Source organism: Homo sapiens, chromosome 5 (genome assembly GCF_000001405.40).
Source record: "Homo sapiens chromosome 5, GRCh38.p14 Primary Assembly".
Classification (NCBI taxonomy): Eukaryota; Metazoa; Chordata; class Mammalia; order Primates; family Hominidae; genus Homo; species Homo sapiens.
This window is the reverse complement of record NC_000005.10, coordinates 134949842-134970115: the sequence shown is the minus strand read 5'-3', so window position 1 is coordinate 134970115 and position 20274 is coordinate 134949842. Positions and strand designations below refer to the sequence as shown.

At 39.8% G+C, this 20274-nt stretch overlaps 2 protein-coding genes across 2 annotated transcripts in view; both read right to left on the bottom strand.

Moving 5' to 3' along the window:
- Positions 1 to 2209, bottom strand: part of CATSPER3 (cation channel sperm associated 3) — a 43790-nt gene extending 41581 nt beyond the window's left edge. Inside the window, exons 1-2 of the mRNA NM_178019.3 lie at positions 2027 to 2209; positions 24 to 177 (exon numbers count right to left, since the gene is read on the bottom strand). Of these exons, the coding sequence (NP_821138.1) occupies positions 24 to 177; positions 2027 to 2124 (252 nt within the window). The 5' untranslated portion in view covers positions 2125 to 2209. The remainder of the gene's footprint in view (positions 1 to 23; positions 178 to 2026) is intronic.
- Positions 2210 to 7471: 5262 nt separating this feature from the next.
- Positions 7472 to 20274, bottom strand: part of PCBD2 (pterin-4 alpha-carbinolamine dehydratase 2) — a 57514-nt gene continuing 44711 nt past the window's right edge. Inside the window, exons 3-4 of the mRNA NM_032151.5 lie at positions 10996 to 11076; positions 7472 to 9530 (exon numbers count right to left, since the gene is read on the bottom strand). Coding sequence (NP_115527.3) covers positions 9435 to 9530; positions 10996 to 11076 — 177 coding nt within the window. The 3' untranslated portion in view covers positions 7472 to 9434. The remainder of the gene's footprint in view (positions 9531 to 10995; positions 11077 to 20274) is intronic.

Below are 20274 nucleotides of genomic sequence, written 5' to 3'. Positions count from 1 at the left end.
ATGGACCCATTTTGTCTGCTTACCTCAAGAAGTCTGAACAAGCGGTACCTTATGTCATAACTGGTCCACAAGGCCATAAAAAACGCATTCGATGTGACAGTGCTAATCATAATTATCTTAAAGAAACGGCTCATTATGACTCTCTTCACAAATGCCCGACATTCATCATCGTTCCTCCTGTCAAAAAGTTGAATGTGAAGTATGGTTACAGCACAATAGAGCTAGATCCCCATAAAATGCATACCTTTTTGTAGGGACAAGGCTCTGCTTTCTCCCTTGTGTGAATATAAATTTACATATACTTTTAAATAGCAATGAGATGTTGAATAAATGACCACTGACATATATATGATGATCATGGATACTCTGTCCTCACTCAGTTACTTAGCTCCCTCTCCCTGGACCTCTGAAAAAGAATGGTCACCACTCCTTCTCCAGCAAAACAAAGTGTCATCTTCATTGACTCAACAAATCTTTATTGAGTGGCAACTACATATCAAGCAATCTAGTAGGCACTGGGAACACAGTGACAGCAAGACTAAATATTGCCAGTCTACTAAGCAAAACTGATAATCATCAAATAATCACCCATACACATGCTCACATCAGTAATAAAAAACTGAATACCCCAAGAGAAAATGGGCACACAATCTATTCATGAAATAAACACCAAAGACAAACAAACTTCTCCAAATATGTTCTACAGCAATACCAATCAGGGAGATGCAAAGTAAAACCATTGTTTTTGTTTATAAAATTAGCAATGACTTAAATGTGATAAGATCTAATGCTGGCAACAGTGTAGTATGATTGAGCACTCTCAAAAACTGCCAGAGGCATAAAAACTGACCAGCTCTTTTGAAAAGCCTGAGAACCATTCATTCTCTGACCCAAGATAATATAACCTGAAATGAAATAACTTCAACTAAACATGTCTATCTCAGTATTTTTTCCAGCACTGAGAAGCTTGAAAACAACTTAAACATCTAACAAAAAGGACTGTGTAAGTAAATTATGGTATGTCCATCTTGTGAAATACAGGCACTAAAATATGTCTATGCATTTTTCAGGATTTAGAAAAATGTTTATGATCCATTTTTATATCTTTTGTTTTTGTGTGCAGCAAAACACAAAAACCAAAGATACAAAATTCTCTGTTCAAAATTATCTCACCTGTGCAAAAATCAGCAGTAGAAAAAATCAGCAGGAAATATGCCAAAATTTTAACAGTGTCTGTCTATGGATGGTGAGGTTATAGGTGATTCTTTTTCCTGTTTATTTCCATTTATCTGTGCTTTGCAATTTTTCTCAGAGTACGTATTACTGTTTCCCATTATATGTTACAAATGAAATGAACACATTCTCATAAGTTAAAAAAATATAGAATATATATTTTTCTTTTTCCTTTTCTTTTTTTTTTTTTCTGAGACAGAGTCTCGTTCTGTCACCCAGGCTGGAGTGCAGTGGTGCAATCTTGGCTCACTGCAACCTTCGCCCCCCAGGTTAAAGGGATTCTCCTGCCTCAGCATCCTGAGTAGCTGGGACAACAGGTGCACACCATCACTCCGGGCTAATCTGTGTATTTTTAGTAGAGATGGGGTTTCGCCACGTTGGCCAGGCTGGTCTCAAACTCCTGACCTCAAGTGATCCGCCCCAGCCTCTCAAAGTGCAGGGATTACAGGTGTGAGCCACCGTGCCCAGCCAGAATGTATATACTTTTCTAATATATCAAGATATGTAATTTTCATTATCTGATTTGAGATGGGGTCTATTATAAAAAAAGAGAAAAGCCTTCAGATTATCTAACAGTCAAACTGGTCAAACTGGTCATTCAAGTCTACAGGGCACATAAAGGTAATAGCATGCCAGCCTCACCAATCATAGAAACCAGATTGTCAAGGACATGCAACTTATTTTGGTAAGCAGACGAGTATCTGAGGGAAGAGGCTGAGAGAACACTGACACCCTGCCCTCACACTTCTACTAGCACATTTCTTAACAGGCAATGGAGATAGATAATATTTACTTAAATTTCTTGAATGTTGGGCAAAATCCCACCGATGTAGTGTCAACTGGTGAACTAGAAATGACTCTCGAGTGGCGCTGGTGACGGTGTTGAGACATTTTCCAAATTTTCAACTTTTATTCCTTGCTTTTAGCATCCAACAGAAAATCTCTGCTTAGGGATTTTCCTTAGCGTCTGGATTCTGAGAGGCAGCAGAGAAGGGGCCACGAAGGGAATCCTTGCTTTATGAGGTCACTCTTGGGCATTCTGTTGCATTACCAGTGTGTAGGCCCCTGAAGTGGGGAGCTCCCAAGTGGGTCTATCATGGATTCTCTCTTCCCAAGGAGACTGAGTGCCTCCATTCAGCAAAAAGGCTATGGGCACCCAGCAATCATGAGGCTCTGGGTTAAAGCTGGAAGTCACTAGAAACAGACCACACAAAGGCCCTCCCTTCAAGAAGTGCCCCCAGCTGATAGACACAGGCCCTTAATAATGTGTTAGAAAAAGTTAAGGGTCATATATAAGGGGGAAAAGCAAGTTCTCTGGGCTCTAAGAGAAAGAGAGCACATCCAGGGCACAGCACTGGAAAACACCTGGAAGGACAAGAAAAGATTGTGATGGGTTTGACTTAGAACAAAAGAAAACAAGAGAAGCAAAGAAGGTAATAGTGAGGTAGGGATAGTGGCTCACACTTATAATCCCAGCAACTTGGGAGGCTAAGGTGGGAGGATCACTTGAGGCCAGGAGTTTGAGATCAGCCTGAGCAACATAGTGAGACCCCCATCTCTAAAAAAAAAATAAGAAATAAAAATCAGCGACGAGGCATAGCGGCTCATGCCTGTAATCCCAGCACTTTGGGAGGCCAAGGCAGGCAGGTCGCTTGAGGTCAGGAGTTTAAGACTAGTCTGGCCAACATGGTGAAACCCCATCTCTTACTAAAAAAAAATACATAAATTAGCCGCGCATGGTGGCAGTTGCCTGTAATCTCAGCTACTCAGGAGGCTGAGGATGGAGAATCACTTGAACCCAGGAGGTGGAGACTGCAGTGAGCCAAGATCGTGCCATTGCACTCCAGCCTGGGCGACAAGAGCGAAACTCCATCTCCAAAAAAAAAAAAAAAGGAAATAAAAATTACCCATGGGAGGCTGAGGCAGCAAGATAACTTGAGCCCAGGAGTTCAGGACTAGCCTGAGCAAGATAGTGAGACTGTCTCTACAAAAAATAAAAATAAAAAAAATTAGGTGGGTGTGGTGGCATGCACCTGTAGTCCCAGCTACCAGAGAGGCCAAGGTAGGAGGATCACTTTAGTCCAGGCGTTGGAGGTTACAATGAGCTGTGATCACACCACTGCACTCCAGTCTGCATGATAGAATGAGACCCCATCTCTTAAAAAAAAAAAAAAAAAGAAAAAAAGAAAGGAGGCAATATAAACCCTGAGTTGGCTAACTGCAGGCATAGGATGGGATGTGCACATATAAACCACCTAAACAGAATATAAAGAGTGAGCACATGTGGCAGAGATGTTTTAAGTACAAAAGTAATAGGGATTTTTGCTCTGTTCAACTCTCAGGATTAATATATTCTCCCCACTCACCTTCTCCTAACTCCTTTGGCTTTCAGGGCAAATCAGGACAGTGGGATCTGGGTAGCCCTGTGTTGTATTAAATGCTCAGTGGCTAAATTGGTCAATCTCCTGGACACCAAAGTTCTTGGGCTGTAAGAAAAGGAAGTAACTACCCCACCATCTCTGCTGTCCCTGGTATTCTACAACAAGTATATATGACCATTCATGGTAGGAAAATACTTTGTGGGCAACCAATATACTGAACTGGGAAATAACATCTTACGTACTCATTTTCTCCATTTAAAATCATCAACAGCAAAGTTTTAAGAATCACTGTGATTAATGTCCCCACAATTCAAACTTTAGCCCCATCTTCTCCGTCTTCATTGTTTCCCTCAGGGATCAGCTCCTCCTATAACTCCTGCTATGTCCTTTAGTTATATGCCCCTAACGTCTCAGGGCTCCTGCCCAACATCCATCCACAGGGGCCTCCTGGGGCAGCTGCTCTAAGACAGCCCGCATCAGCTCTCCATCTGTTTCTACCTGCCCTGATATGTCACTGTGCTCAATCCCCTAGGGCACACAGAAGGCCCTCAGTAAGTGTGTGCCGTATGAATATACAAAATAATGGCATCAGGGATCCCTGTGCTCATTCACATAGCTAGGGACAACAGGATTTCATCTCCAGGAAACTCAGTAGTATACTTTTGTGACTTCTCTCTTTAAGCACCAAAGCATACTTTCAGGGAAAAACAAAAAAGAGATTAAAAATGTAAAGAATTCTTTCATGCTGCTTGGAGAGGTGAGGGAAGGTAGCCCACTGAAAGTGACAGAGAAGAGCCCAGTTGTTCTTGGTGTACTACATCAGCACAGCCACAGATGAATGCTGTTTCTGAAGCCAATGATGAAGACTTTAGTCTGGAAATGAAACTCCAGCTGAGTGAGTGGAAAGCAAACAGGAAACCAGAGGTGACAAGCTGATCCAGGGCCTACTGAAATCATACATATCTTCTCATGGATTGGTGGGCAGGGCAGGCATCCTGGGATGAGAAGCCCAAGGGCCATCTCCTGTGCCCTTTCAGCAGCAGCTCATGCTCTGCGTGACCTAAGCAGCACCATCTCAGCCACAGATAGCCGGGGAGAGTCAGCCAATGGCAGGTGCAGCAGCTTGGTGACCCTGAAGTCCTCTGGACAGTCATTAATTTACTAATCCTGAGTAACTGGCATTGAAACACAAAGCTCACATATGATGGCCAAACCCTCCCGATGTTTTTCTGATAACTTTACAAAACTGAAAGCTACAGAGTCCACCTAGAATGTTTCTGAATGCTGAATCAGAAAGTGTACAGACCGCTCCCTACTAACCCTAGTGGTCCAATAGTTCAATATATTAACCGAGGCAGGCTTGTGTCCAAATACAATGTACATGCTGCTGCTTTTTGTCTATAGCAAAAACATAAACAGCCATGCTTAAGCTATTTATCCAGAGGTTTCCTAAATCCTATCAATGTCAGAAAGTAATCACTATTTTCAGAACTTTCATTAACTTCATTGTAGAAAAGGACATCGTCAACCATGTGTCGGCCCGGTTTGCTATCTGTGGAGGTCATGCAAGAGGTCAAAGGTCATGTCTGTTTAACTCCTCTCTACTCCAGTGATCTTTTAGAAAGAAAACAGAAGAAAGCCAAAGCTTACCACATCAGAGAAACCACTGTCATCATGCAAAGATTTGGAACAGACAGGAACCTGGGGGCCTCCAATTTTGACAATATCTCTTTCAAATTGAAACGTGAGTTACTTTAAGCAAGTTTGGTGTTTCATTCTGTTGGAATTTACCACCATGAGCATTTCCATAGACTTCGGATACGGGATCTTTGATTCTCTATAGTAAAGTCTGTGAGTTCCAGCAGATGCAGCGACCCATAACATAGACCTATGTCAAACCCTAATGTAGGTGATAACTAGCAACTTCATTCGCAGGTCTTCACCACTGTCATTATGAGCCATATCCTGCTTTCTCCACTGTGCTACACGTGACATATGTTAACACAGCCATCAAGTTTAGCCTCTCAGACTTCTGCTGAAAACAGAGGAAAAGGGTTCCGTTTAGGGTATAGTAAAACAAGTTAAATGACACCACAGGAAGAAACAAACAAATCCAGAAAGCAGAATATTCTACAGCACAACTGACCCAGTTTTTACAATAAATAAATAACATGGGGAACTGAGGAAGGGAGGGGAGCTTGCTCCAGACTGACAGACTAAAGAGACACAACAACCAGATGCGATTGGTGGGCTTCATATAGATCCTCGATTAGAACCAGATTACTGTCCAAGGACATTCATGACCTTCAGGACAATTTGATTTTGCCTAGGTATTAAGTGTACCAAGGAATCACTTTGTTAGGTATAAAAATGGTACTGTGGGCCGGGCGCTGTGGCTTATGCCTATAATCCCAGCACTTTGGGAGGCCTAAGCGGGCGATCACGAGGTCAGGAGCTCGAGACCAGCCTGGCCAACATGGTGAAACCCCATCTCTACTGAAGATACAAAAAAAAATTAGCTGGGCATGGTGGCGCACACCTGTAATCCCAGCTACCCGGGGGGCTGAGGCAGGAGAATCGCCTGAACCTGGGAGGCAGAGGTTGCAGTGAGCCAAGATCACGCCATTGCACTCCAGCCTGGGCGACAGTGTGAGACTCTATCTCAAAAAAAAAAAACAGAGGTACTGTGGTTTATACAAGAAAATGGCCATATTTTCCATAGAAACTTACTGAAGGATATAGGGGTGAAATGATAAGCTATCTGGGATTTGCTTTTAAATACTTTAGCAAAGAAGGAAACAGGGAAAATGAAGCAACTGGGACAAAATCTTGGTAATTTTTATATCTGGGTGATATGTATATAAGGCTTCAATGTACTATTCATGTACTTTTGAATATGTTTAAATTTTTTCATGCTTAAAAAATTCATGTAAATCCAGGTGATGATTCTCAAAAGAAAATTTTAAAGAATTAATGTTGAAAATTGAAGCACTTAACTAAAAATATTTGGTAATAAAATGTATAAAAGTCCCAAATCTACACTATAGGAAACCAGCTTATAAAAACACAGTTTTGTCTTTTCCTTGGGAAGAATTCTAAGAAACAGAAGTTCTAGTGCTAAGAGTCTGGATCCCCTGGCAGCCAGAGAGCCTGAGTGGCTCTTTTCCCTCTTCTCTCCCTGCACACCACATGTCCACAGGGCAACTGACCACACCTGCCTCTCCCTGGCCAGCAAAACCAGCCAGGAACTGGCTTCAGAGAGCTCAGCCTCTGTGCCATGTTCCCATATGTTTCTCAGGTTTGGGGCAAGGGTGACATGGAGAGGGAAAGGTTTGCTTGTTGTAACAAACAGTGATTTCTCTGGCCCCTAAAGAGAGGTGGGTTTACAAAGATGATCCATGTTAAATTCCACTACCATGATGCTTCAAGGGACTAACAAATGCTTCATGGATGGATATACCTGCATCATAATCTCGTTAGTAGTACATTCCTGAATTCCTTCAAAAAACACTCTTATTACAATTTTTAAATAATAGATTACTTGATATTCCTTTTTACATCTGTCAGTGACACATGGAGTAAGTAGAGCTCACTACTGATTAACACCCTTCTAGCTTCTAGCTTCAGTGGCCGTAGACCCTCAGTTCAGGAGTCAAAACATGCAAATGATGGGGGGAAAATGACCCTTAGTTCCTCCTTAACTCAGTAAGTCAAATAATGACTTGGTGAGTTGGCTGCTGTAACAGTAAATCTTATATTGCCACACATTCCTGGAAGCCACAGACAAGACACTTGTCCTCTCCTTCAACTCTCTGTTGAAAGAGAAAAGTAAAGAAAACACACCAAGATAGCTCATCCAATTTTTGTGACTTGTTTAATCTAATTAATTATATAAGTAGTAACGGCAGCTAAAATCCAAATCAACTTTAGCTTCATAAGAATTGTTATAGGCCAGGCGCAGTGGCTCACGCCTGTAATCCCAGCACTTTGGGGGGTCAAGGCAGGAAGATCATTTGAGCCCAGGCATTCAAGACCAGCCTGGGCAACATAGTGAGACTCCATCTTGTATAATTATTAAAAATAAATAAATAAAAATTTTAAAATAATTGTTATGACACAGTGGCTCACACCTGTAATCCCAACATTTTGAGAGGCCAAGGCAGGAGGATTACTCGAGCCCAGAAGTTCTAGACCAGCCATGGCAACATAGTAAGACCCTGTCTCCACAAAAAAGTTTTAAAAATAAGCCAGGTGTGGTGATGCATGCCTGTAACCGCTGCTACTCAGGAGGCTGAGGTGAGAGGATCACTTGAGCCTGAGAAGTCAAGACTACAGTGAGCCATGGTCGCACCACTACACTACTGCCTGGGCAACAGAATGAGACCCCGTGTCAAACACACACACACACACACACACACACACACACACAAACTGTTATACTGGCTGGGGGCAATGGCTCACACCTGTAATCCTTGGACTTTGGGAGGCAGAGGTGGGAGGCTTGCTTGAGCCCAAGAGTTCAAGGCCAGCCTGGGCAAGATGGGAGACCCCATCTCTACAAAAAATTTAAAAATTAGTCAGGCGTGGTGGCACTTGCCTATAGTCCCAGCTACTCTGGAGGCTGAGGAGGGAGAACTGCTTGAGCCCAGGAGGTTAAGGCTGCAATAAACCGTGATCCTGCCACTGCACTCCAGCCTGGGCAGCAGAGCGAGACCCCGTCTCAAACAAAACAAAACAAAAGAAGAATTGTTATTTAAAGTTAAAACTCACTATCTGTCGAGTTCCTAATTCTTTTTCCACCTTACAACTATTCTCCAAAACAATGCATTTGTAGTCACCAGAATTGCTTGAATTTCTGGGTTATAAAATGTGTGAATACTCCCCATCCCAATTTCTTGAATTTAAGAATGCCACTTCTGGCCAAGCGCGGTGGCTCATGCCTGTGATCCCAACACTTTCGGAGGTGGAGGCAGGTGGATCACGAGGTCAGTAGATCGAGACCATCCTGGCCAACATAATGAAACCCCATCTCTACTAAAAATACAAAAATTAGCTAGGCGCAGTGGCACGTGCCTATAGTCCCAGCTACTCGGGAGGCTGTGGCAGGAGAATCATTTGAACCTGGGAGGCAGAGGTTGCAGTGAGCCGAGATCCCGCCACTGCACTCCAGCCTGGTGACAGAGCAAGACTCCGTCTCAAAAAAAAAAAAAAGCCACTTCTCTTTCTGAATATTATTAATATAAGTAACTGGGTTGGTTTATCTTAGGTATATGATTAGATAGCATGAAAAATACCTCAGGTTCCAGTTTAAATCATTGCGTATTTAAGCACTGATTTTACCAAATGTAATATATAAAGGCAAACAATTTACACAACTTAAATTGTTATTTTTCTTTTTTCTTTGCTTCTAGATATGATGCCTTAAGAACAATTCAACAGCCAGGCATGGTGGCTCATGCCTGTAATCCCAGCACTTTGGGAGGCTGAGGCAGGCGGATCACGAGGTCAGGAGTTCGAGACCAGCCTGACCAACGTGGTAAAACCCTGTCTATACTAAAAATACAAAAATTAGCCAGGCGTGGTGACACGTGCTTGTAATCCCAGCTACTCAGGAGGCTGAGGCAGGAGAATCACCTGAACCTGGGAGGCGGAGGTTACAGTGAGCCGAGATCATACCACTGCACTCTGGCCTGGGCGACAGAGCAACACTCTGTCTTAAAAAAAAGAGAAAAAGAACAACTCTATTTGTTCACATAAATTTCCTTCAACATACATTGCAGCTAAGATGTGTACAAGATTTTACATGTATTTTGGAAGAAATCACACAGAAGCAGCTGCTTTTTCAATAAACTTGGCCAGCTTCACATCTTTTTTGGTCAGTTCACCACAGTCATGTGAGGTGAGAGTTATCTGGACCTAAGAAAAAGAAAAGCAGTTTTTAAAACTCTGAGCAGCAAATCATGGTTATTTTCCTTTGGCAGTTCAGAAATCAGTCTATTATTCAACATTCATATTTGAGAATTAGGGGGATTAAATGATTTAGAAAATACTACATTATGAATAAGCAAAACATTTCCAAAACCCAGCGAACTCCAGGGGCATAGTCTACATTAGGCCTGGCTCAACAGCCACCTTGAAATAAAAAGTTCTCTTCCATGAAGAGGCAATGCAGCTGCCAGAATCTCAAATCTTGTTTCTTTAAATAAAAAGAGAGACTGAGGTTCCAATTGAACTCTCGTTACTTTAATTACATCAACTATTTTCAGGCCACTGAGAAAAACCAAGCTATCAAATGTAATATCTTAGCAGCAACGTTTAAAAAGCACATTTTGGCTGGGCATGGTGGCTCACACCTGTAATCTCAGCACTTTGGGAGGCCGGATCACCTGAGTTCAGGAGTTTGAGACCACCCTGGCCAACATGGTGAAACCCCGTATCTACTAAAAATATAAAAGTTACCCTGCACGCCTGTGATCCCAGCTACTCGGGAGGCTGAGGCAGCAGAATCGCTTGAACCCGGGAGGTGGAGGCTGCAGTGAGCTGAGATCGCAGCACTGCACTCCAGCCTGGGCAACAGAGCCAGACTCCAACTCAAAAAAAAAAAAAAAAAAAAAAAAAGCACATTTCTAAATTAGGGAAATGGGAGTAAAGGATGGAATGCTGTTTCTTGATGAACTGATTATAAAGTAAAAGCAAAATTACGAGCAAAGAGAAGCAAATAGCAAAGAAAAGTTTAGCCTGGTACCAAGGTGCTCTGAGTTATTCTATTAAGTCACGTGAGTATTGTGAAATTCTCTTTTTTCAAAGATTTTCACAGAGAAGACTTCATAGAAATCTAGATGATAAGACATTTCAAATGGCATGACCATAAAGGCAAGGACACTTTGGGAGGAACAAGGTTCTTCTCACTGTGTTCCCTCAAAACTTTTTAGTCTGTCCTTTGTCTTAAATAAGGTCATTTCCTACGCAGGATACAAAATTTAATAGTTTTCAAAGCACAGTTCTTGAGTAAAAATATTTCAACGAGATAAATGAGGCCATATCTATCTGATTTGCTACCATTTCTTTCAATAATTTACCTTAAGTTTTGAAACGTATCTGCATGGCTGATACTCCGGTTTAATTCAGGAGCCTCATTTGGCCCAACTTTCTCATATTAGCTTCAGTAGAAAGACAAGCATGAAAATAAAGAGCTTATTCACTGTTCTTAGGAGCAGACCTGAAAATGTGTTACTAATTTGCAATAATACACAGGGATTCTGAGAGAAAGGATAAGACTTTCTTAAGTACAATGACATTTAGCTGCACAAGATGACAAGGAAGAAAGAAGTTTCTTAAACTCCATAATTAAGGTGATTCCCAAATAAGGCAGTTTAGTTACCTTGTTGTATACATTGAACCATTCTGGGTGATGATTCATCTTCTCTGCTTGTAGGGCAACTCGGGACATAAAGCCAAATGCCTGCATAAGATGAAGTCAAGAGTAATTACTGACATTGTCCTCTACCCTAAGCCTGAGAGACACAACAGAGCAATCCAACCACATAAAGGCAGGCAAGGATCCTTAGGGAAGCCTGTGGAAATCAACTATGAAAGGACTGCTCTCTGCAGGCCTCTGGGGTCACAGTGCAGCAGGACTGTGACCTACTGCTGGATGGTGAAAAACTATCAGGCTCGAGTAAACAAACCAGGAAATTGGTCTCACCTAGTGACCCGTCTGGACTATTTAATTGTCCTCAGGACAAGACTCTACAAAATAGCACGGGAATAATTTCCCTTCAACCCAGTGCTCTGGGTCTCACTACCTGGCTCCAAATATTAGGAGCCACTTTTCTTGCAGCTCTGTTCCTTTTGTTTTTAGTGATTGGGTTGCTAACTAAGGCAACCCACAAGACTATGGAAAAAGGTCTCCTGAGGGTGTCTTAAGCAAAAGCACCAGCAGAAATGAACAACTTCTTCATCTCACCTCCCAGGCAGGACAGGAACAAATCAAAGACTATTGGCACCTAGAGTGAAACAGAAGCCCAGCTTGCCTGCTTGGGTTCTTCCTGCTACTGCCCTGCACTGCCATTTCAAGGTGACAGTGCACCCACCTCAGGGCAGAAGGCAAGCCAGGAAATGAGCAGAGGGCTGCAAACCAGTCACACGACTAAGTGTGGACTGACGGGGCTCTGTCTTTATACCACACGGGGAGTGGAAACAATTTTGTTAAGCAGAAGGTAAACTTGTCTTCAGAAGAAGGAAAAAACTCATTTTTTTGTTTGTTTTCAATTTTTTATGAAGGTAACTGCAAACAATAGGAGAGTCTGTCTCTATTGTTCCAGAATGCACAAATACTTGGTAAGACTCTTAGGGTAATGGCACATGAATTACAAAGTTAGAGTGGCATTCACAGGGCAATACCCATTACACCCACGTAAACAAATATTTAACTTCATTACCCCTATCCAGAAAAACCAATATGATGTTAGTCAAGCCATGTTTTTGGGATCACCAAATGACCTAAGTGTGTATTTCCTAGTTAACAGTGAGAAATACAGAAGATGCCATTTTAAACAATTCTATATCATTCACTATGGTACCTCTCTCGGAGCCAATTTTATTTGGGATAAAAGTTTCCATGTTGACATTTGAGGCCTGAAGGTTTTCCCTATAGGAAAAGGGAGAAAGTTCAAGCAAAATCCATTTGACCATGTATGGAATTATCTGTGGAAAAACAATATTCACTTTCCCAGCCCTTCTCATCTCATAATCTGATTGTCTAGATTATGTGAAGGGAAGGGACAAAAGCCTGTTTTTTATTTTTATAGAGACAGGGTCTCACTATGTTGCCCAGGCTGGTGGAATGCAGGGGCTGTTCACAGGCACAATCATAGATCACTGTAGCCTCAACCTCCTGAGCTCAAGGGATCACTCAAGGGATCCTCCTGCCTCAGCCTCCCAAGGAGCTGGGACTACAGGTGCATGCCACCATGCCCAGCCATGAAAGTCTGTTCTAATTATTCAAACATAGAGTTAACCCACATTAAACTACGTATAAGGAGAATTTCTACTCTGCCTATAATGCCTTATTCTTGTTTAGCATTAGAAGATGTACAATGCTAATCAACATCACTGATAGACAGCAATGCAATTGTTAAGGGCATGGCCTTTTGAGCCAGGGAGTCCTGGATTCAAATCCTGATTCTATCACTTAATTATCATGCAATTTAACTATCAGTCTCAGTTTTCTTTTTTCTTTTTGAGACAGAGTCTCACTCTGCTGCCCAGGCTGGAGTGCAGTGGGATTATCTTGGCTCACGGCAGCCTTTGCATCCCGGATTGAAGCGATTCTCCTCAGCATCCTGAGCAGCTGGGATTACAGGCACCTGCCACCACGCCTGGCTAATTTTTGTAGTTTTAGCAGAGACAGGGTTTCACTATCTTGGCCAGGCTGGTCTTGAACTCCTGACCTCATGATCCACCTGTCTCAGCCTCCCAAAGTGCTGGGAATATAGGCGTGAGCCACCATGCCTGGCCCTCTCAGTTTTCTTATCAGTAAAATGGAGACAATAATTTTAAAAGTCATGTGATTACATTCTAATAAACAATGAGATAAGGTATATAAAGGTACTTAGCACAGCACTTGGTACAGAATAAGAGATCGGTAATGGCACATACTGCTGTCACTACTGCTTCTGACCAAACTACACAAGGTAAACCTTACAAAACACAATGAGTGGTGAAAAGCTCTCCATGGGCTTGAGAATCTAAGATTCTAGTTGCTGTCTTCCAGAAGAATGGCTCTTTCCTTTTTCCAGTTGTCATAAATAGAGACTCGCACATGTAGAGCAAACGAACAGATAATACATTGTGGGGTAACATCCTGATGCACACTGACTGGGGAAAGCAGCTTAATGGCAAGAAATTATGAGTGCACAGTCACTGCCCAAGTTCTTACACCCTGTGGCCACAATTTCTTTGAACCATGTCATTCTAAAATGTCTAAAGTGATGCCTACAATTCCTTGCCATTTCCCATTAGCCAAGTGGATCAAGTGGATGATCGGAACACAGAAGTGGTCCTCAAATCTTTGACCACTGGCATGCCATCAGTATAGTAGCAAAATCTATTCCATCACAGATATAAGGCTTGAAAGGAAACACAGCCACAGCCTAAGAGGCATACTGATCAAAGAAAAAACATCTACCATATCTACATACAATTAAAAAACTTTTATGACACATCAAAACCCCTCAAATTTGTATTTTTCTCAGCTTTGCATATTTCCCTTCAACTGTCACATAATATTTGCATTTAATAAAATACTACAAAGCCTGATAAACCATTTACACAGGATTTATTCTTAATTCTTCCCCGGGGAAAATAATAATCTGCTCTGGAAGCAAAAAGACAATTCCATAATCCTTCTTCCATATAACAGAACCAACCAATCCCCAAAATATGTATTTTTAAATCCACAAATTAAAAACTTCTTTCAAAATATACACTCAAAGAACTACTCCAAGGAATTTAGATGACTGAATAAGAGAGAAAAAAGGCAAAACTCAAACGAAAGTTTGATTATCTGGAATACAATGAAGAAGATACAATGCCAAACAGCTGACTTAGCAGATGGTGAAAAGCATCTGCTCCTTCTTTCAAAGATTTCTTTTTACAGTCTTAGTTACTTGCTTATGGGATTCCAGCTCAAAGGCTTTGAGCTAACTAAAAGACAGGAAAGCTAGAAACAGCCAGAAGCAGAATAGACACCACTAACAACCCAGTAAGAGACCCAAGAGGACAGGATCCAGAAAATGGGCAAAATGAAATAGAAATCAACAAGAGTTTAGAAGAACTAGAAAAGAATAAATGTAAGGACAAACAAAGGAGATCTAACATAAAGATCATTGTTGGCTGGGCGTGGTGGCTCATGCCTGTTATCCCAGCACTTTTGGAGGCAGAGGCAGGCAGATCACCTGAGGTCAAGAGATCGAGACCATCCTGGCCAACATGGTGAAACCCCATTTCTACTAAAAATACAAAAATTGGCTGGGCATGGTGGCGTGTGCCTGTAGTCCCAGCTACTCGGGAGGTTGAGGCAGGAGAATCACTTGAACCCAGGAGGCAGAGGTTGCAGTGAGCCAAGATCGCACCACTGCACTCCAGCCTGACGACAGAGCAAGACTCCATCTCAAAAAAAAAAAAAAAAACCATTGTTGCTATTTAACTGAACAAAAATACGAAACCCCCAAAATTAGAGTGTAATTTAAGAAAACTTTCTATGACTCAGAACACTTGGGGATAAAAATTTAAAAAAAAAATAAGTTTTCCAAAAATAAAGGGTTTAAATCTATAAATTGTAATATTTCAATCATATATATATATATATACTGTAGCAAAGTTAAACTCGGAAGATTAAAAAATCCTTTTGGCATCTAATCAAAAAGATCAATTCATCAATAAGGATGAAAAGAATCTGGCCAGACACAGTGGCTCACACCTGTAATCCCAGCACTTTGGGAAGCCGAGGCAGGCGCATCACTTGAGGTCAGGAGTTAGAGACCAGCCTGGCCAACATGGAGAAACCCCATCTCTACTAAAAATACAAAAATTAGCTGGATGTGGCAGTGCGCACCTGTACTCCCAGCTACTCAGGAGGCTGAGGCAGGAGAATCACTGGAACCCAGGAGGCAGAGGTTGCAGTGAGCCAAGATCGCACCACTGCACTCCAGCCTGGGTGACAGAGCAAAACCCTGTCTCAAAAAAAAAAAAAGATTCTGCTGACTTCAAACATTCACATACCAACATTCAACATTAGAAGTCAGAGGGGCAATACCTACAAAAACTTTAAGAAATGAAAGTTGAAAACCAGGAATTTTATACCCAGCTAAGCTACTTTTCAAAAATAAATGCAAAAGACAGACATTTTAGAAATACAATAAGTCAGGGAATAATTATCACTCATCCTTCTTGAGGAAACTATTAAAGGATGAACTATAAGTAACTAAGAGATGAATGGAGAAACTATACCAAAGGTATTAGCAGTAAGCAATATATTCATTCAGTTCTAGGAATACATTTAAAACAACTGTGGGAATTACAGTTACAGAATGGAATGCAAATGTTATAAACTATTAAAGGAGTTTAAAAGAGAAAGGACAAGATGAAGAAGGTATATAAAAGTAAACAAAATCTTTGAAAGATGAAAGATCAAGTTAGAGACATAAGTATACTTAAATGTGTAAAACTTAAGTACTAAGGCTGGGCACAATGGTTCATGCCTGTAATCCCAGCGCTTTGGGAATCCAAGGTTGAAGAACTGCTTGAGGCTAGAAGCTCAAGACCAGCTTGGGAAACATAGTGAGACCCTATCTCTACAAAAAAAATTTTAAAAATTAGCTGGGCATGGTGGCATGCACCTGTAGTCCTAGCTACTCAGGAGGTTGAGGTTGGGGGATCCGTCGAGCCCAGGAATCTGAGGCTGCAGTGAGCTATGATCATACTCCACTGCACGCCAACCTGGGTGACAGAGCAAGACTCTGTATCTGATTAATTAATTAATTAAACATAAGCACTAGGACTGAAAAATAATATAAACTAAAATTAAACAGTGAACAAAAAGTAGGAGAAAATATTATTTCAATATTGCTTTGAGGGGGGACCATAAATGCTATATAAAGAAATAGAAGACTATATTTTCTTTTTTTGTTGTTGTTATTAAGATGGAGTCTCACTCTGTCGCCCAGGCTGGAGTGCAGTGGCACAATCTCAGCTCACTGCAACCTCCGCCTCCCAGGTTCAAGCAATTCTCCTGCCTCAGCCTCCCAAGTAGCTAGGACTATAGGCACGTGCCACCACACCCGGCTAATTTTTGTTTTTGTATTTTTAGTAGAGACAGGATTTCGCCATGTTGGCCCAGCTGGTCTTGAACTCCTGACCTCAAGTGATCCGCCCGCCTCGGCCTTCCAAAGTGCCGCGATTACAGGTGTGAGCCACAATGCCCAGCCAGAAATAGAAGACTATATTTTCTATGTAAAATTATAGGTATATAATTTTATAGGATCTTGTAGATACCATACATAGGTATAATAGTACATATATATGTATATAATACTATATATAGGTATTATATATATATACGATATACTATATTATCCATAAGGTACTATCAAGTTATATACCTATATATAGTTATAATAGTATCCACAAGAATCAAAATAAAAATATAAACATTCCCAGTTAAGTAAAGAAAAACATAATTAAAATGAAACAAAGAAAACACAGTCCATATCATAATTTAAAATAAGGAAGAAAAAAGTATTTTGGTTCTGCCATGTTTTATAAGACTAAACTCATCTGTGCAATCAATAAATGTAAAGAACATAAATCCAACCAATCAAAATAAAGAGAAAACTTTCACGCTGGATCACAAAGCAAAATTCAATCATTAAAAATAAAAGCACATAAGCAAATGCAAAAAAAAAAACTTGTTAATAAATTATATTGAACAGGCTAATTTAGGGCAAAACATTAAAAGTCCTGAAGCGGGTAATTTGCATTTATAAATTTGCATCCACCAATGAAGATTAAATAATTACAAATATCTACACTACAAATAATAACATGGCATTGAATAAGCCCATGTAGGAAATATAGGAATAAATAGAAACATTTATAGTTGGAGACTTTAATTAACTTTTTTTTTTTTTTTTAAGAGACAGGGTCTCGCTCTATCTCCCAGGTTGGAATGCAGTGGCACGAATATAGCTTACTGCAACCTTGAACTCCTGGGCTCACGGGATCCATCCTATCTCAGCCTCCCAAGTAGCTAGGACTACAGGCAAGTGCCATTATGCCTGGCTAATTTTTTTAAATTTTTGTAGAAATGGGGTCTTGTTATGTTGCCCAGCCTGGTCTTGAACTCCTGGCCTCAAGTAATCTTCCCACCTCAGCCTCTAAACCTGTAAGTGGCAGGATTACAGGCATGCGCCACTGCACTTAGCCTAACTTACATCTCTTAACCCATGACAGATTAAACAAACAAACATAATTTTAAAGGTAGAGCTAATTGCTATACTTTAAACTCTAAAAACTGAGAATAACACTTTTAAAGCGCTCATCAAATATTCACAGAAATTAAACATATATTAGTCCACAAAGAAAATCTCAATCAATTCCAAAAAGTAGAAATAGTACTGAAAACATTCTCTGGAATGCTGATAGATAGGAATAGATGCATCCTTCCTTAATACGATAGAATATATTCTCAGTCCAAAGGCAGCATCATTTTTCTTAGCATCATTCTTTATAGGGAAATGCTAGAATTCCCATTAAAGTCAAGAATAAGACAAAAAAAAAAAAAAAGTCAACAGCTTCTCATACAAACAATAACCAATTAGAAAATATACCGAAGAAAAGATATCATTTAAAATGGCACCGAAAAACAATCTAAGAGTAACTTAACAAGAAATTTATAAATTCTATTTCCTGAAAACTTTAAAAAACTACTACTAAGAAATAGATAAATCTTACTACACGAAAAATTTTTTTCTGTACTGCAGGAAGAAGACAGGCAAAAAAAATTTTTTCTGTATGGTAATAAAATCCAACAAACAAAAGCAAAAGATAAACAACAAATTATATTTGCAGTATATACTTCCTTAGCATATAAAAAGCTCCTACATATTAATGAGACCAACCACCATTTTTTAAATGAGCAAAGGACATAATAGATAACAGAAAAGAAATTCAAATGGTTCTGAAACATAAAAACTGCTCAATCTCAATCATGGTAAATACAAATTAAAAACTAAGTTAAACCTATTAGCTTGAAAAAGATCAAAATATTTGCTAATATTCTGTTGGTGAGGATATAGAAGAAAAGGTATTCTCACATGCTGCTGGTGAATATAAGTTGATATCATCATCATGGAAGGCAATCTGACATTATCTGTCAAAACTGAAAATGTCCATGCCTTTAGACCAAACAATACTTCTAGGAATTTGTGCTGCAGACATACTCATAAATTACAAGAAAGGTAATTGCAGCACTGCCTGTAATAGCTATAGACTTGAAACAGCAAAATCTCCATCAACAGGGAACTGATTAGAAAGATTATGGTACATTTACACACTGGAATACTATGCAGCCATTAAGCAGAACAAGGAAACCATTTATCCTCTGACATGGAAGTACCTCTAAGATACATTACTAAATGAAAAAAAATATATGCATAACAATAGTTCATGAAGCATATAAAAAGGAAAGAAAAGAAATTATATGCTTGTGTATGCATTAATATCTCTGGAAGGATATACAAGAATGATGGGAGCAATGGTGAAAGATGAGGAGAGTGGAGAGTGGGAACTGGATGGTTGAGAATCACAAACAGGAAGACTTCCTACATTCTTTGGTACCTTTTGAATTCGTACCATGTGTATACCTGATCTATTTTTTAAAAATTAGTTTGGGAAAAAAATGAACAACATGCAAATGAAGTTCCCACTGTAAAGGGAGCTGGAATCCTTTAATGTACATAACCTGGTTCACATTAAAATATTTTGGCTCATGTTAACTTCTTAACATATGCCTACCTGTTTAGGTGGGTTTTTAGTGCCAATTTACAGCATAGTTTGTCTATGAGCCATGTTCTGTTGAGCCACAGCCATTTCAAACAAACATATGGCCAACAAATAACGTATAATGGCTGATAATAGTTTCAGTCTTTCCTCTATTGCAAATTACAAACATTTTATGAACAAGTCAATGAATGTATGATGAAGTATGACTTTTTAAGTTACTCTACCATTTTAAGGAATGTAAGCAATACAATCACAGTAAATTGGGCCAATGAAGTTTGTCATTTGGAAATCTCCAAACCATCAGCAATTAAAGATTTTTCCATGAACCCCAAATCAAGTATTCTTTGGGAACTTTAATTTTTCTTAAAGTTCCTTTTGTTTCATTTTATTCCATGAAACTATGAAAGACTATCAGATGCACAAAACCAAGACAAAAATCGTGCATCAATCTGTGAAATGTTTAACAGCACCCTGAATTTAAAATACAGCTTCAGTCAAATAACATGTATGATTTATTAAAGTTCTAAGACTTCTAGCACATACTTACAATACAAATCTTTCGTTACTCAGAGCAAGTCTCTTTGATATACATTCTTTAAATCAGCTGCCTTTTATATTTTGATTATAGACTATTTTAATTATGCACTAAAAAAGAACATATCTCCCACTAAGAAAATGAGCACCAGCTACTCCAAAGTAATTTCCCCAGTACAATCTCCATTAAGCCTCTAAATACTTCCTTTACTAATTCAATGAATTAGACATCTATTGTTTATGAATCACCATTATGTTTGTAGGCCTATAACCCTTCTTTTATAAAACACAATTGCTATGGAAGGAAATGATATTTATGTCTGATTACAAATGAAAACACTATTACATAAATCAGTTTGGGCATTTCTTCACGTCTTGAAACATGATCAGCAATTTACTCTAATTGGTGATCAAGGAAACTATCTTGTGATCAATTAAAGTAATTACCAGATTCCGGCAACACAACCTACCTTAATTTCAGCTAGAGTCTGCACTTCTTCAACTTTAATTAAAAATAATGAAAATTATTAAGCAAAATGCAAGGCAAGATCATTGCCAAGCA